This window comes from Homo sapiens, chromosome 9 (assembly GCF_000001405.40).
Source record: "Homo sapiens chromosome 9, GRCh38.p14 Primary Assembly".
Classification (NCBI taxonomy): Eukaryota; Metazoa; Chordata; class Mammalia; order Primates; family Hominidae; genus Homo; species Homo sapiens.
Genome location: NC_000009.12, coordinates 101,672,739 through 101,691,383, shown reverse-complemented (window position 1 = coordinate 101,691,383; position 18,645 = coordinate 101,672,739). Strand labels below are relative to the sequence as shown.

Here is an 18,645-nt window from a genome sequence, read left to right as displayed (position 1 = left end):
CCTAGTTTTGCTGGACCCTATTATTTCATTTACAGTAATTTTCATGACTTCTAGTTATAGGAAGTGTTTATTCATATAGTTAGTTACATATTGTCTATCTCTCATCCACCATAGAGACAACAGGAAATGCCATGCAGAGGTCATGGCTCAAGGTAGGAGCTTAAAATTATTTTTCATGATTGAATAAGTGTTCAGTAAAGGCTTCTATTTCCTTATTGACTAGTAAATGTTTTATACATTTGGTGAACATTAACTCTTTGTCTACCCAATTTATTACTAATATTCTCTTGTTTTTCATGTTCCTTTATTTTTTATGATAGGTGTTTAAAACTAAAAATACGGTGTGCTGTGATAATTCAATGTTTTCCTTTTATTATTGTAATTTCTGATACATATTTACCTTTTGGTCTATCTTTTAATGATTTGATATTGTACTTTTAGCTCTTTAATGGCCTGGAACATATTTTTAATATATGATGTAATGAGAAATTTAATTGTTATTTTTCTAACTAATCTATTTTCTCAAATTCTAATATCCTATTTCCTTCCCTATTTCTTTGTTATTTTAATTTATAACACAGTAATTTAATACTCCATTAGTACCTATTAGTACCTATTAGTGCTTCCCTGTTTTAATTATTATTGCTTTATAAAAATGACATTTTCTAATGTGTTCTAATATCCTCCAAAGCAAGGCCTATCATTTTCTTTTTCCAAATATTTTTACCACTCTTGCCTGATTTTTCTGTATATGGAACTTTAATATTTACAGTCTGATCCATAGCGGGTTAAGCAATCTTCTCCCACACCACTGAATGATTCTTTGATGCTTTGAACCAACTTCTTGGTGACTCCTCTCTCCCTGCAGCTCTGCACTTACTTGGGATTTCATTCTACGAGTGCATGGCAGCACACACATTCCCCAGCCATATTTCCTGCCCTATTCTTTTGGAAATTTCAGGCTCTGAAACAATGTCTAACCAGATTATGATGGAACAAAACCTGCAAAATTAATGGAGTAGAGTGGAGTTTCATCTCCACTAGAAATGAAGATTCAATTCAAAGTGTAGAAAAATTACATTTTAAAATCTTTTAAATTACCTATTTAGCTTGACATATATGGTTTTGTGTATACAATATGAAAAATAATATAGCTACATTAAAGTATGTGATAATATAAATAATATACCATAATATAATAAGTAGCACACTTATTTAAGGGAATGAGAATTATCAGTACTATTTAAATTCATATTTTCTCCCTCCCACCTCTCTCTTCTGAGCCTGTTTATTTTAATATAGATAAATTGAATGTACCTATAAGGCAGTTTCACTCTATCTGCATGATAGAGACAGGCTTCCTATTTCTTGAGTTGTTCTGTTTCTGGATCTCTGATTTAGGAGAAAAACAATATGGAAATTACTTTTAAAATCTTTATATCTTCTTTCAGGCCATGAGCTTGCTCTTTTGCAAACAACAAACCATATGTAAGACACAGATTTTCCTTTTCAATTTTACTCAATAGGTCTTGTTTAATTTTTGTCCTGGATTTTGACAAAAATTTTACTATCAGGCTTGAATTTTAGTGTTATAAGTTTTCATAATCTTTGTGTGTGTGTGTGTGTGTGTGTGTGTGTGTATGTGTGTGTGTGCATGTGTATGCATGTGCATATGTGTGTGCCTTTGTCCTTATATGGGGAGAAATTGGAAAACACTGCATCTGAGGCTGCTAAATCAATAATATCTCATTAGATGCTTCTAAACTATCATTTAATAATTTTCTGAAGAAATATGTCTCAAGTTTGTGTAAGGATTAATTTCAACATCTGGAATTTCTCAGTAGAATTGTTTGTAGGGGTGAGTGTGATTATATGAATTAATCATTATCCATTGTAGGGGTCTTCATTTCACTCCCATGTCTCTCTCTCTCATGCCTATTGGATTTGTTTCTCTGTCTAATACTAAATGCTCAATATGATTAGCTAATTCAACTTCCTATTTAGCAAGAAAGCAACAATTTCATCCGTGACTCTTAAGCCATATTATTGATTTTTAAATCTGTCCTATGGGTGATTCGGAGGTTATGGTGCAGGAGAATGATATGGTCATATTTGTATTTTAGGAAGAAAACTGGCAACAGAATAGGGAGCTGAAGCCAAGAAAACACTTAGGAATAATTTGTTCCTGCTAGCTAAATGTGGAGCTTGCCTTCCATTGCTTTTTGCTTCTAAAAGAGGATTAAGACAGAGGAGGAAATAAAAAGGAAGAAGGAAAGGAAGAAAGCTAAAAGAGGAGGGCAAAAGAAAACACAGGAGCAATTTATACAAATCAAAATGAGGAGTGAGGAAATGAAGCTTCCATTTCTCTCACCTCAAGATCCTGCTGGCAGCTCAAGCCTGGACACCCAGAGCTACCTATTGGATCCTGTCTCCTGGTTTTTGAGACCTTTCTCTCTTTTGCCTCTCACATCTGATCTTGTCACTAAATCCTTTTTATTTTATTCTATTCTATTTTTGAGACAGAGTCTCACTGTGTTGCCCAGGCTGGAGTACAGTGGTGCAATTTTGGCTCACTGCAACCTCCATCTCCCAGGTTCAAGCTATTTCTGGCTAATTTTTGTATTTTTAGTAGAGACGGGGTTTCACCATAACAGCCAGGCTGGTCTCGAAATCCTGACCTCAAGTGATCCTGCCTCGGCCTCCCAAAGTGCTAGGAGTACAGGCACAAGCCACCGTGCCTGGCCAATCCTTTTTAATTTTAAAAAGACCATTTTTCATTACCCTCCCTACCATGAACAGCAGTAGAACACTTAGCATGTAATCAAGATCTTGAGGGGCTTCTAATTCCCCATCCCTGTTGAATGCTTCCCAGTGATGATTTTTCCAACGCTCTGTTTTTATCATTACAAGCTTTGCTCAAAAGCTTAATTTGGAAAGACAAAAGACAAATTCTCAGAACAAATTTTAAGAATAAATTTTAAGACTCCATCCTACCTACCATCATGAGTAGCTACAGTCATAGTTTTCCTCCTGTAAACCTCTGTGGAGTCCTCACTTTTTATTCTACATGTATCAAAGTCATTTAAATCCTTCAGAGAGTTTAAAGTGCAGCATAAATTCTATTTCCTGTTACACATTTTTTGGTACGTAGGGACAGGCCACACTTCTTCGTTTCATACAAGGGCTTGAGATTTTACTGAGAAAGGCTTCCTCATTTCTTAATGCATATTATTGAATGTTCAGCAAGCTCTTAAAAGCAATCCAATAGTTCCCATAATAAACATAGTTAATTCCATCAATATTTATTGTGCCCCTAACGTATATAAGACATTGTGCTAAACATTGTCAGGATGTCAGATGCTTGCTCTTGAGGACAACAATTAACAAATGTATTCATTGGAAGACTATTTCCACTTCAATTATATGACTGCTAATTTGTGACTTTTCAAATAAGTTTCTCTTCTTCCATGAAGTTTGTGAATTCCACAAGTAGATAAAATTGTGATACAAGTTACATAAGTGTGTTTAATGGCACAGATTTCACTTTTCACAGCAAGAATCCAGGTTCAGAAGATACAGAAAAGTAATCAAGCCTTTAACATTGCACTACACACTTAGTCTTGATGTATGTATTGAAAATTATTCTTTACTTATTAGAAGTGTCTTCCTCAAGGGGCTGGAAGTTTAGGAAACTATGATGCATCCATCTTTCACATCATCCTTATAAAAATACCTGCATTTTGCTAAGATTTCCTGCCATTAATTTTAAAAAGAAACAAAAGTAATTTCTTCTCCTTATTGCGTATGAGATCAAAGTTTAACAAATGAGGTCTTAATAGCAATACCAAGAAATGGGAAGCCATAAATGAGACTGCCTATATGGCAGTAGACAAGCTTGACAAAACTCCTCAACCAAATGTATGATTGTGTTACTTCTGATATTCACACCAAGAACCATCCACCCTCTGGTACTCTTAGCAAAAATTATTAGGAAATCAGTTGTTAGGAATCAATAGTTCCATTAGACAGGAAGCATAGTTTTCCAAACTATGGGAATTTTATCCCAGAACTATGTATCACAGTGAAATTAAAGGATTAAGCCTCATAAGAAAGCAAAAGTACCCTATGTTAAAGTCTTTGGCCAATGCTTTCTAATTCTTCTTTTTCATATCTTTAAATACAGAATCCCCTTCACCTACAACTGAGTTTAGAAAATTCATTAAGTTCTGATGCTGATGTCACTGTCTCAATCCTGACCATGAACAACTGGTACAATTTTAGCTTGTTGCTGTGCCAGGAAGACTGGAACATCACCGACTTCCTCCTCCTTACCCAGAATAATTCCAAGTTCCACCTTGGTTCTATCATCAACATCACCGCTAACCTCCCCTCCACCCAGGACCTCTTGAGCTTCCTACAGATCCAGCTTGAGAGTATTAAGAACAGCACACCCACAGTGGTGATGTTTGGCTGCGACATGGAAAGTATCCGGCGGATTTTCGAAATTACAACCCAGTTTGGGGTCATGCCCCCTGAACTTCGTTGGGTGCTGGGAGATTCCCAGAATGTGGAGGAACTGAGGACAGAGGGTCTGCCCTTAGGGCTCATTGCTCATGGAAAAACAACACAGTCTGTCTTTGAGCACTACGTACAAGATGCTATGGAGCTGGTCGCAAGAGCTGTAGCCACAGCCACCATGATCCAACCAGAACTTGCTCTCATTCCCAGCACGATGAACTGCATGGAGGTGGAAACTACAAATCTCACTTCAGGACAATATTTATCAAGGTAGGATGCAAGGTCTCGGTTATATCCCCATTCATAGGGCCATGACAGAGAGTAAAATTCCCCTATCTGTCCGCTTTGCAGAAATCTTGACTCTGAGTAGCTTTAAACTTTAATAATATTTCTTAGAGGATTTCTGGTTATATAGGCTAGTATTTCATGATCTGCTATCTGTAATTTGATCTATAAACTTGTAAGTACATGGTATAGTGGGAGTGCTCAATCCTGCCTTTAAACCTTGGTTTAGCTTCTTACTAGCTGTTGTGTTCTTGGAAAGTTATTTAAAAGCTCCAAGCCTCAGTTTTCTAACTAGCAAAATAGAATAATGAATAGCTTGGTATAGTATAATAAAGATACCATGAAATTTATATATGAAAAGTACCTAATACCATGCTTAGCTTATAGTAGATGCAAAATAAATGTTTCTTTTCCTACCCACTCTTTTCCATATCAATAAAATTAATCAAGTTTCTCTAAATCTATACAAAGAAAAAATTAGTCAAGCAAGAAATGGACTTTTCTCCCTCCTCCCTGGCCTTGATGCTTAAGACAGTATAGAGTAGTAAAGGCAAAGACTCTTGAACTCAAGTTCAGACCGTCTGAACTTGAAGTTTAGCACTGCCACTTACTACTTGAGTGACTTAATCAAGTTACTTAACTTCTCTGAGCCTTAATTTCCTTTGTTCTATATTCATTTATGTAAAATGGATATAAGAGTAGATCCTATTACCCATAGAATCATTGTGATTGATGATTGATAGATAGATAGAGATAATAGATGATAGATTGGTAGTAGACAAACAGGATACATTAATAGAACTAAGAGTTCCATAAGAGTATTATATATATATAAAATATTATTTATTTGTTTATACATTCATAATTATATTTGTTTATTTTTAAATTAAATACATTTCTGCTCCGGTTCCTCAATATGATTCAGAAACTAGAACGAAAATGTCCATTTAAAATAGAGAACAACACATCATATGGAAATGGTTTTGGTGATTCCCGGGAAAGGGGGAATATCCTTAAAGGATATTTCATTAGGGCTTAGACTTTCTTCTGAAAAAGGACCACCTGTAGTCAGAGAGGCCAAGTCAGAAGATTATTATTTCTTCAAAGACGAATGTTTCCCTGTAGACTAGGCCCTGTTTTTAGGCCATCCTGGAACAGTGGTATCTGACTATGTTGAGGACTACAAGGCAAACTCATAACTTCTTACCTTTAAAAAAGACATGATAATGGGCAACACAGCGAGACTCCGTCTCAAAAAAAAAAAAAAAAAAAGACATGATAAAAGGTCAAGGGGTGCAAATAGTTGTACATTTAATTTTACATATATATATGTATGTATAAATTGAGCACCTACTATGTACAAGGCAATATGCCAAATGCCATATGTAAGGGAAAAGTGAAAGACTGAACACAACCTGTAAACTCCTTAAAGAATGTTGTTAATAAAATTTTTCAAATATATTTACTACAAATCTATTAGTAATAAAATTAGATGTTCTATCATCATCTGAACTTTCCCTTTTTCCCATATTATAATTTCCATAAGATTAAAATCCATGCATATTTTATTTTATAGCCACTCTCCAGATTTAATCTACTGTTGGCAAGCTCGCACATAATTAAGGTTCAGAATTTTATCTAAGACAAGAAACATTCTCCTTTACAACAAAAATACAAGCAAAGTTTTGATTTATAATTTCAAATAGTCATTGTTTTGGAAGGACAGTCATAAACAGCAGCCAGGAAAAACCACTTATGAAAACTACATTGAGTTCCTTAGCATCTTTTTGTCTCATGTAAAAAGGAGAATGCAAGAAAAGTGATTCTGTTTGAATCCTAAAAACGTTTAGAAACTACAGAGAAGAATATTTGTTGACTTAAGTTGTATATACCTTAGGGTCTCATTTTACCAAGATCAGACTGATCTTTCTGGCTCCTCAAGATTTAATTTATATTAAAATTATGTTCTTCCTTCCACAAGGATCCCATGGCATTTTGTATATAAAATTACATAGTGGTACTTGGCCCATTCTATCCTCATTATTTGTCTGTGAATCTGAGTTCTGAGCTAGAATATAAATTCTGTTAAGTGGAGACGCTATTATTGAGCCTTATCCAATGCCTAGCCTATAGTAGGCACTTAATAGGTATTTATTGAAATTGACATAGAGGCCAGGGGCGGTGGCTCACGCCTGTAATCCCAGCACTTTGGGAGGCCGAGGTGGGCGGATCACGAGGTCAAGAGATCAGACCATCCTGGCCAATATGGTGAAACCCCGTCTGCACAAAAAAAAAAAAAAAAAAAAAAAATTAGCTAAGCATGCTGGCACCGCGACTGTAGTCCCAGCTACGTGGGAGGCTGATGCAGGAGAATCGCTTGAACCTGGGAGGCAGAGGTTGCAGTGAGCCGAGATCGTGCCACTGCACTCCAGCCTGGCGAGACTCCGTCACAAAAAAAAAAAGAAAGAAAGAAAGAAAGAAAGAAAAAGACAGGAAGAAGGAAAGGAAGGGGGAGGGAAGGGAAGGGGAGGGCAGGGGATTGACATAGAAAGAAAGAAAAGTAACTTTCTGTTTTATTTACATCCTACATTATCTGTTGCTGTAGAAGAAATGGATAGATGGTAGATATTGTCTAAATTAAGTACTTTTTAAATTTACATAAATACTGGATGATTTCTGTTTGGTTTTCTTTCTCTCTCGCTCTCTCTCTCTCTCTCTCTCTCTCTCTCTCTCACTGTCTCTCTCTCTCTCTCCTTATGGTGGGATGTTAGGTTAGTATATAACCTCTGCCCTCGTGGCTATTTATTCCACAAACTTTGAAGCTGTAAAAGAAGATTGTGAGGTTTGAAGCCCAGCAGTAATTTACACCGGGTCAGTGACAATATTTTCATCATGATGAATGTGTTTGAGAAATGAACCCAAAGAACTTCAGGAAGTATACCTGAGACTTTTTAAACTCCTGAGGGATACAGGAAAAGAGAAAGTTTGAAAAGTATTCAGGAACAAGTCAAGGGAAATGAGCAAAACCCAGGAAGGAGACTTTATAATGAATAACTGAAAAGCTGCCTTAAGCCATAAAACATCTGTGGATTTTCCATCATCCTTATTTATTTTGTTTAATACAGTCTTTCAGAAAGTAAGTTATTCTCAGTCCATAAGTCACATCTGCATACAGTAATTTTCTTAATTGTTCTTAAATTTTGTAAGGCTGCCCCCACTTCTTCACTGCATAATGAAAGTCGGGAGGATAATGAGCCATGAATAGTGGATGTCAGAGTTACGCAAGTTTTCATTTCTCACACAGTCATTTTCAGTTTGGGCTGACAGAACTGTTAACATCTTAAAATGTTAATGAAATCACCAAAAACATGGCATTTTCAGCTAGGCTTTCAGATTAGAAAAGTCATTTCTCATGGCAGACTACACACACATAATTACAGGTATTAGAGATTTTATTCTTCCTAGGTCCCCACATGCCAGAGCAAATGTCCATAATAACTAAATGTAGACAAAACATTCAGGGACCAAGTTCATAGCATGATCTTCAACAATCTTCAACAATATATTTACAAGTTTTGTTTTGTTTTGTTTTTGTTTTTGAGACGGAGTCTTTCTCTGTCGCCCAGGCTGGAGTGCGGTGGCGCAATCTCGGCTCACTGCAAGCTCCGCCTCCCTGGTTCACGCCATTCTCCTGCCTCAGCCTCCCGAGTAGCTGGGACTACAGGCGCCCGCCACCACGCCTGGCTAATTTTTTGTATTTTTAGTAGAGACGGGGTTTCACCGTGTTAGCCAGGATGGTCTCGATCTCCTGACCTCATGATCCGCCCGCCTCGGCCTCCCGAAGTGCTGGGATTACAGGCGTGAGCCACCACGCCCAGCTACAAGTTGTTTTTTTAAATGTTAGTTAATTGGAGCAATTATTGGTGGAATATTATTTTGAGAATACCTTTATAAGCGCATTTGAATGGATGTTTTTGCCTAGCCAATGACCATGTGTTGAACTATGGTCGGGTAGACAAAATGAAGACTTGAATTCTGACATTTAGGAGCTGACAGTCTAGTGAATGAGGTCGAAATGTAAGTAAATGGTTATAAAACAATGGGATGTGTGATTTATAAGAATAGGGATATATTCCAGAGAAATGCAAATCAAAACCACTATGAGATACCATCTCACACCAGTTAGAATGGCAATCATTAAAAAGTCAGGAAACAACAGGTGCTGGAGAGGATGCGGAGAAATAGGAACACTTTTACACTGTTGGTGGGACTGTAAACTAGTTCAACCATTGTGGAAGTCAGTGTGGCGATTCCTCAGGGATCTAGAACTAGAAATACCACTTGACCCAGCCATCCCATTACTGGGTATATACCCAAATGAGTATAAATCATGCTGCTATAAAGACACATGCACACGTATGTTTATTGCGGCACTATTCACAATAGCAAAGACTTGGAACCAACCCAAATGTCCAACAATGATAGACTGGATTAAGAAAATGTGGCACATATACACCATGGAATACTATGCAGCCATAAAAAATGATGAGTTCATATCCTTTGTAGGGACATGGATGAAATTGGAAACCATCATTCTCAGTAAACTATCGCAAGAACAAAAAACCAAACACTGCATATTCTCACTCATAGGTGGGAATTGCACAATGAGATCACATGGACACAGGAAGGGGAATATCACACTCTGGGGACTGTGGTGGGGTCGGGGGAGGGGGGAGGGATAGCATTGGGAGATATACCTAATGCTAGATGACACATTAGTGGGTGCAGCGCACCAGCATGGCACATGTATACATATGTAACTAACCTGCACAATGTGCACATGTACCCTAAAACTTAGAGTATAATAAAAAAAAAAAAAAAAAAAGAATAGGGATATATTCAGATATACAGAGGGAAATAATGAACTCTTCTCAGATATTTGGTGATGAGGGAAAAACACTGGACTTGGATCCTGTAAATGAAAAGGGGTTTTAGGTTTGGAACAAATTCACAGACAAAGGAAATGACATATGCAAATTCACCAAGACCTGAAAGATAAATTTAGTATGGCTGGAGCATTAATTGCATATGAAAAGGATTTGAGATGATTCTGGAAAAGTAGTCAACTTGATAACATACCACACAGAGTTTGTATGCCAAGCTAAGGCATTTGCATTTTATATGCAGAGCGGATGTCAACTGAATGGCAGAACATTAGCCCTGACATATTTATAAAAATCATAATCCTGTAACAAATTAACCAAATAAAGTAATACAGTATAAAAGCTTTGCAAGTAATTTTTTTTAAACATTAGGATATAAACATTGTTTTTATTTCTCAAAATTGCTTTTAGCCTTGCCCACATTTACTCCCTTGCTGCATTCTGAACATCGGACTCTGGGGAAAGTGAATAGGAGTTTGAGAATTTACCTGCTGTTCCCAGGATTATGATTTGCCCATGCTTGCCTAAAGGCCCTAAGTGCTAATAAATTCATTGTTCCTGCAGAGAAAGCTCCATGGGTTGGTCATAATCTGGTCATCAACACTTATCTTTTCTTTAAGAATCCCAAGAGTCTGGACACTGACAGACACATTGTTGTTCTTGGCCTAAGAAGTCCCTAACCCTTTGACTAATTAGCCATAGTTCTGATCGTTTATTCTAGCTTCTAATTGGGATGTAGAATCCTCCTTTTCTTCTTTGAACAGCTTCTGCAGTTCTGTTCTGTATCCCTTGAGAATTGAATCAAGTAGTCAGTGATTAATTCGTTCCTTTGTTCACATGTATTTGCTGAAATTAACTAATATAAGGTCAAGCCCTTGTCTGGAGACAGAAGGAATAGAAGGTAAGAGGCCGTGCTGTCAGGAAGCTAGCAACCCCCTTCTGTTCTTCCACCAGGAGAAGACATGCTCATCTAATTATTCATAGTTTTATCCATTTTCCTTGACCTGGCTGTTTGGTTATTATTCTTCACTGGGATAACACCCTTTATACCAGTGATTATACTCTGCTGGTGCTAGCATTTCTAGGCCTCCCTCCTCAGTTGACCCTGAATTATGATTCAACACACTAGAGACTCTTTTCTCTTCAAACTATGTTTATCTTTATGCTTACACAGTCAAGCAATATCAATACTCACTGGCCTTTTATTAATAATAAATGTTTTCATTATTGATTCTGCATATATTCTTAAGAACCTATTATGTGCCAGGCATTGAGAAGAATTAGAAAATCTTCAAAAAAATGAATCAAACAAATGTCCATTCAAAAAACCCAACATATAAATTGATAATCATCACAATTTATTCCTGAACATTAGCAGAGTTCCAGAAGAACTTGAGGCTGAATGCTATAATTCTAATTTTGGATATTCTGTCCACTGTCACCATAACTTAGTGGCATTGTGACCATGTTAAAGTTATTTAAATGTCATAAACTTTAATTTCCTTAACTATAAGGATACCTGTCTCAAAAAGTTAAGTAGTATGTCTAAGGTCATTCAGCTACTACTTTGCAGGGGAAGATTTAAACCAGTTTATCTAAATTCATATTCCAGGCTCTTTCAGAATTAGTATAAGCCTTCCTTAATTGGGATCCTATTACTTTTTAATTTATATTCTTTCAGCCTGAAGCTATACAAATCGCATCTGCATACAGTAATTTTCTTAATTGTTCTTAAATTTTATAAGCATTCTTGTCCTAAGGACCTCTACCAACACAAACTGGTTAACCCACGTATTTCAACATGTACTTAAAAGAAATGCAGTTGCATTAAACATGGAAGCCAGGGGTTGGAGGCTGCTTAGCACTAGCTCCCTGGAGTCCCGAGAAGAACACATTGCTTATGGCTGATCCAGTATACCTAACTCTTACTCCTAGGTTAACTTTCTCTGCTAGGGCTACTAAGGTGTTGATACTTCTAGAAAAGACATGTTTGGGTTCATGAATCTCAGGGATCAACACTTAAGGTCTGTGTGTTCAGATGTTTTCAGTAGGAACCCTTGTCAGCCGAATGATCTGGCTGGAATTCTTTGAAATTACCTCTACTCCAGGTCACTTAAGTCATGCCAAGAGATGAGTCTAAAATTTTCCCTAAGTCACTGCGGGGCGGGGTCGGGGGGACTCACATAAGGTACACTGGAAAATGTATATTCCCTCAAGACTCTATTTTGATGAATACAGCTCAAATTTACTTAATCTAGGATTCAGCAGATTTTAAACTGTGGAATATTTCCCAATTAGGAGAGCTTCCAAGCTTTTATGTGCCCGAGAAGGAACTGTATTCTTGGTTGACTTTTTCACTTTATATGCATCTACTGTAAAATCTGGAAATCTGCCAAAAAGTATGAAACTATGCAGAGTAATACTGAAGCTCTACTCTGATTTTCAGATTTATCTCTCAAGACCACTTCAATCTGCATACCCTACAACCCTTAGGATAGATGTTTGACTGGTAAATACTGCATAATGTCTTATTGCCAGGGCTATGCCAAGGCAATACTTGAAGGGACATCAACACCTTGGCTAGCACTGGGGCCAGATCCAAAGAGCCAGAATGAATTGAGTTGTGATGTTTCACAGTGTGACCAGGAACAGTTCAAGGGCTAGGCAGAGATCATAATTGTATAGAAGAGTCAAGGTTCATACCAAAAAGCAAAAGGTAAGGACAATGATATAGGGGTATGGAATAAATCAAACTGTTTTAGGTAACATATCAGAGAAGAAAACACAGAGAGAAAAAAGTGCCAGCTTGCCAGTTACAACACATGGAAGCAAGAAAAAGAGATTACCATGTCTGTGTGTATGACTTCTTGATGTAGCAAGCCCCTCATACACACCAATAGTAACACAGCACAAGACATGTATTAAATTATGACCCCACCACATAGATTAGTATTGTTCTCTTCTTGGTGAAAACTTCAAGAAAGGTAGGAGCTCTCCTTCCACCCTACAGTTTCACCTATAAGTAATTGAATTTTGCAGATATTGACAAAACATAGACCCAAATGATTCATATATGTGTACATATATGTTTAATATATTACTAAATTGCTGTTGACCATTAACTGATAGAAATATTTTTTAAAAGATGAGCCTTGTATGCAATTTTAAAAGATGACATAATCAGGGATTATAGCGTGCAGGGCCTTCTGTTCTGAGGATGGAAATTTAGCAATTTCCAAACCCTATTAAACTCCTTCTCATCAGAGAGGTTCCCCATTGAACTAACTTCAATTTTTTATACTCTCCATTATTCAGGAGGAAAATGTATTGAAAGTTTAATCCTTCAAACAATTTGCAAATTACAAATGCAAATGTTTCCTGACTTAATGAGCCCCATTCTTCTGGCAAAGTGATGAAGATCACTGTAAGAGATACATGTCTGATTTGAGCAGAAGACATGTGTTTAATTGCATTTACCCCAAAACATTACTGAGCAGTTACCCTGGCCAAGCACTGTGTTGTGCCTAAGAGTCAAAGATGACTCAGTGAGATAGGTACTTAGATAAATGCTGAAGCCTCTTTCAGCTTGACAGCCTGCAGTGTTATGAAGCAGAGCAGTGGGGAAGGGAGAACAGCAATTCTGTGGAAGATGCTGCTCTCCAAATCTGGAGTAGGTCCAAACCCATGCCTTTGAGGGCCTTATAGTCTAAAAAGTCAAAGATGAGATAAATAAACTGCCAAATTCTTCTACTTTAGGATAGTAAGAGGAGAGTCAAGGAGTCATTTCACATGTAAGCTCAAGAAATCACGCACATTTAATGTTTAATTTGGAGAACTGTCCCATATATGGAGAAGAAAATCAAACAGAATTGGACCACAGGTAAGCTCTGTGGCTAAAATGGACAAATTCATGTTATCATAAAAGGAAGGCAGATACCACAGGGCTCGGCTTTGGTGAAACAAGCCACAAAATGAAAGCTGAACTAGTAACAACTCGCCATCAAGTACAGAAAGGTTCCCTAGGGCCGTAAGAAAAGGGAAAAATGGTAAAAGAGACATAAAAAAATAAAGGGAAGTAAATAGATGGATCTCAGAAGGCAGTGGGAAGGGAGCTGGAATGGCGACAAATAGTAAATTAACTAACGATGGTCAAAGAGCTGCTTTAAGACAAGATCTCCCACTAACAAGACAGAATATTGGCATTTCTGCTATACAAAAACCACTAAAAAGAAAAGGGGGAGAGGGAGGGAGAGAGAAAAACAAAAAATTCAGAAAAAATAAAATAAAATAAAGAGTATTAAAGAAACAATGAGCCAACTGTAGATTAACCCACATGCCAGAAACAGTGAGAATACTGGAGGGAAGGGAGCCAGAGGAAGAGGTGTAAAATGAGAATAATTTAGGAAATCAGAGAGTTTAGGGGAAAGCCCTGAAAAAATAAGAAATATACACATGGAAAAATACAAATGTAAACTATGTATAGTAAATAATTCAGATAACTGGAGGTCTATGGACATTGTGAAATATCAAAATTGGCTGTAAGAGTTCTAAAAGACAATCCAAAGAGAGAATAGCTTAGGGCTCTTGAATGAAAAAGAGCAGAAAAAAAAAAAAGACTACATAAGTGTGAACTTGTGACAAATGCAAAAGTGTAGAACTCTGGAGAATGTGAGTTTTTAATTAGAAGATTCGTCGTAGATATGAATCACATTAAGAAAAGATAGGATTACTGAACATCTATGTCAAGTTTCTCTTTCTCACAGAAAAAAAAAAAGGAAAAGGGGAAGGTTTAAGAATATTCCTTTGTCTCAAATGATAAGGACTTTATTGAGCTGGGTTTTCTACTACATGCCAATAGTTGGTAGATCGCAAGCTAAATTAAAAGTAACCAAGAAGCAAATATTTAAATTCCATGTATAGGAGCAAGTAATCCTGACAAGTAAACTCAGTAAACCTAACAAGAATTAGGTGATCCTGGTAGGAAGGGAGTTTGAGAGAATGTTACTAGTAATAATATTCTTAAAGATTCCTAATCAGGCAAAAGCAAAAAATCAAAATGAAGTTCTCACAGAAAAAAAAAATTGATAGAGCTTTATGCAGCATGAGTAAATCCCTCATTCCTCGGGGGAAATATCAAATATGATGAGATGATCATGGGAAAAGAACTTCAGCTTAGTTTTCAAGATATAAGAGAAAGAGGATATTGATATGTTTAATGATACAAAGACAGTTCCCAGGGGGAAAAATTAATTTTAAGGCCTTGTAGTACAAAATAGATATTCACATAGACAGATATGATTAATGGAAGGCAATAAATAGGGGGAAAAAGAAAAGGTAATAGGGCAATTTAAAAGAAAAAAAAGAGAGGTAGATATACAAAGAGACAAATTGATGAGTGAAAAATGATTGAAGTAGAAATAAATATATGGTCTATAAATAACTAGGTCATGAAAGAAGACACTTGAGGATGGTGATGCATTTAAACAACACAAAAGTGATAATATGTAGACAGAAATGAAGGCTGAAAACAATGGAGTTATTTCAGAGCTATTTCCACAGCCAGAAAAAATACAAATTCATAATAAACATAAAAACATAATACTAATAAAACTTGATGTGTCAAATAAGACAAGAAAAATCAGGGGGGCAACAATTCTTAAAATCTCTAAGAAAAGGGCAACATTATTTGTAGTGGAAGATTTTTATTTAACTTTAGCAAATTTTAGGCAAGTTACAAAAAGTAAAAATAGCACATGACTAATGTAATTAATACATTAAGATAATCAATGTATTAACTGCAGTTAACATTTCACAGAGAATGTACACCCATTTTGATTAGCACATAGAATATTTACCCAAAATGACAGTATTTCAGCATCCAAAACAGGCTATAAACTTAAGCAGCAGATTTTTATATGTGAAAAATACAATAAATCAAAGCTCAAACCTTTTAAAATTACAAAAAAAAAACCCCTCCTATGTCAACATTGTGCCAGGTCTAAATCCTACACGTATTACCTATTTATCATATGTATTCTGTCTCCTTCAATAGAATATAAGCTGCATAGATTGTGGTCTTACTTCACTACTACACCCCCAGCACCTAGGACAGTGCCTGGCACATAGTGAGTATTGTGGAATAAATAGATGATTGAATGTGTGATGTGTTGCTCATTTTATGATGAATAAATAAGAAAATACTTTAATTAGGATGTCAACATTTTGCATGCAAATATGGCTTCTAAAATATATATTAAATATATTAAATATTGATCTTGCTTATACTGTGAACTGTCTCAAAAACATTTTCTAAGTAATTTGCAAAGTGCAGATTTTATCTCAGCTGTTATGCAAATTACGTATTCTTAATTAGTGACATATTGGGAGATTTTAATAAAGAAAAATTCATTAGTAAGCCTCATTCTTTTAAGGAGAATGGTATCTTGGGAGGTTTGTTGATAAAAAAGATGAATACCTGAACTACTTTGTTAAACACTCACTAAACAAGGTTCTCACTCATGGAGTTAGATCCACGCCCTTATCAAACCATGACAAAGATATTGTAAGTGGTCTCTTAGTCACCATTTTTCTTTCCTATATGTGCATTTTACTTGCCTCCAGACCAATATTAACTAATGTAGATCTCTGTTAAAGTCATTATGCTACTCAGTAATCTTCATGGTTCCCCTTTTCCTACTAAAATAAAATCCAATGTCATAAAACAGGTACATGAGGCCTCCATAGTCTAGTTTCAACCTGCTTTCCCTATGTTATTTTCTAATATTTTTCTACCCTGCTCTCCAATCCGATTATTATGCTTACTACCTCCTCTTACATTTTCCACCTTCTTACCTTTCTTCATAACATTCCTGACTCTGGAAGATTTGTTTAGAGTTCATATCCAGGCTGGAGCAGTTATCTGATCAGCACAGAGAATGGTAGTATTACTGTTCCCTTTGATCCAGGCTCTAAATTTTTATTAAAGGAACTTAAGGTTACTTTTTTATACCCACATTGCTATATGGGCTTACATTGAGTTTATATTCAACTAAATACTAACAGGTCTTATTTATATGACCTTCTGTCAAGCTGAGTTCCACACATTCTTAGTAAAGTTTGCAACCCTGTACATTTGGCCCTCTTAAATCACTGCTTTCCTTTTTGAAAACAAAATATCTCTTGATTATACCATCTCCTCTCCATTTCTGCTACTGCCTTAGCCCTTACCACCTTAAGCCCTTTATGAGACTAGCAGAGAGAGAGTAAAAGAGGAAGCAAAAGAAAGAAGGAAGAAGCATTGTTCCTCACATGTGGACTTATGTTCAGTCCCCTCCTCCTTCCAAACTATGTCCTATATAACTAGCAAGGAAAAAAATCATTGTAAAATTAAATCGAATGATCATGACTCCCCCCAGACAAATTCCCCTCAATGCCTCCTTGTTGTCTTCACTGTAGCCTCAGATCTGATGTAATTCATTTCCTATCCTCATCTCCCTCCTTATTTTTCATCTCTTATCGTCAAACAGCTCACACTCTCTGTCTCTGGCCTTTGTATTTGTATTTCCTTGAGATGACAACATCATTTCCCAGCTTCTCTTCCTGGCTTACTGTAATTCCTTCTTCAAGACTCAGCTCTGGCACTTCCTCCTCTACGAAACTTTCCTTGGCACCCTATAGTAGAATGTGCAGGTGCTCTTGCTCTCTGTTCCAGTGACACCAGATTTACCTCTATCATGATGCCCATTATGCGGGTCTGAATTGCCTGCTCACTTTCTCTCTCCCCAGAATTAGACTTTGACCTTCTTGAGCTCCTTGAGACCAATGAGTTTGTCTTTCATCCCTGTAACTCTAGAGTTGGAAGAGTGCCCAGGAGTTTGTCAGTTTATGGTGCCAGTAAAACTATTCCTGATTTTTCTCCTTGTTTATCCAAGAAGAGTAAAGGGCAAGATAAAAAAGGAATGTGATGGAATTCAATTTAAGCAAAATCAGGATTTCAGCCTTTTGATATTTTAACTAATTTAGTGAGCATTTATATTTTGCTATGCATTGTCATTCCATTAGTACAGGTGACTATAATTAAAGCTTTCATGAGATTATTTTGATTCACCCTTATCGTAAGACTAAAAATGAAACAGACACAAATAATCTGTCATAAATGGTGATTCTCTGGGACCCAATTTTTTGGAGCCAGTAGTGAAACAAGCATTGGATTTTCTGGGCTGGGAAAACTGGAGATATTCAGGTCCCTATTGATTTGCCTTCTTTGGAAAATGACTGGCTCAAAGACAACTGGGCCTTGTCCCTCTATCATGGCCATCTTAAATGTTATTTAATACCAATAATCAGTAATAGGTTTTACTGGAATGACAGAGTTGTGTAATCTCTGGAAATTTTCTGAAGATTTCTAGTGCCTTTTTCTGATATGGTTTAAGCATATATTTGGTCAAAGGTACTCTCTCAAGGGTCCATCCAGTTAAGAATCTATAATCATTAAGCCTCAAACATTCTTAAAATAATGAAGGGTTCCTCTTTCCACAACTTCCTCTTTACTTTCCTGATCAGTAAATTGACCAGAAGAAATTAACCTACTTACTACTAACTGTTTATTTCTTATATCAGCAAGTATGTATATGTGTGTGTTTTAACAAATCTAAAAGTAGATTTCTTATAAACAAGTGTATCAGCTTTCCCTTATAGTACCTAGGTAATTATCAATTGATTAATCTGTATATTTTAATGATTTGGCTCCTTCTCTAAAGAAGCAGAAAACTACTTCAAAATCTAAGATAGCTGAGACTTCATTACTTGTTGCAAAATAGAATTTAAGTGGTAGAATCCCACTGGGGAGTACTAACATGAATAATTACCATTACAAACAATCTTCCAAAATGAACAGTTT

At 36.3% G+C, this 18,645-nt stretch overlaps 1 protein-coding gene across 2 annotated transcripts in view; it reads left to right on the top strand.

The window, feature by feature from the left end:
• GRIN3A (glutamate ionotropic receptor NMDA type subunit 3A) overlaps positions 1–18,645 on the top strand; it is a 169,296-nt gene that overhangs the window by 47,264 nt on the left and 103,387 nt on the right. For both annotated transcript variants that reach the window (NM_133445.3, XM_011518211.3), the window contains exon 2: positions 4,184–4,788. In NM_133445.3, the coding sequence (NP_597702.2) occupies positions 4,184–4,788 (605 nt within the window). The remainder of the gene's footprint in view (positions 1–4,183; positions 4,789–18,645) is intronic.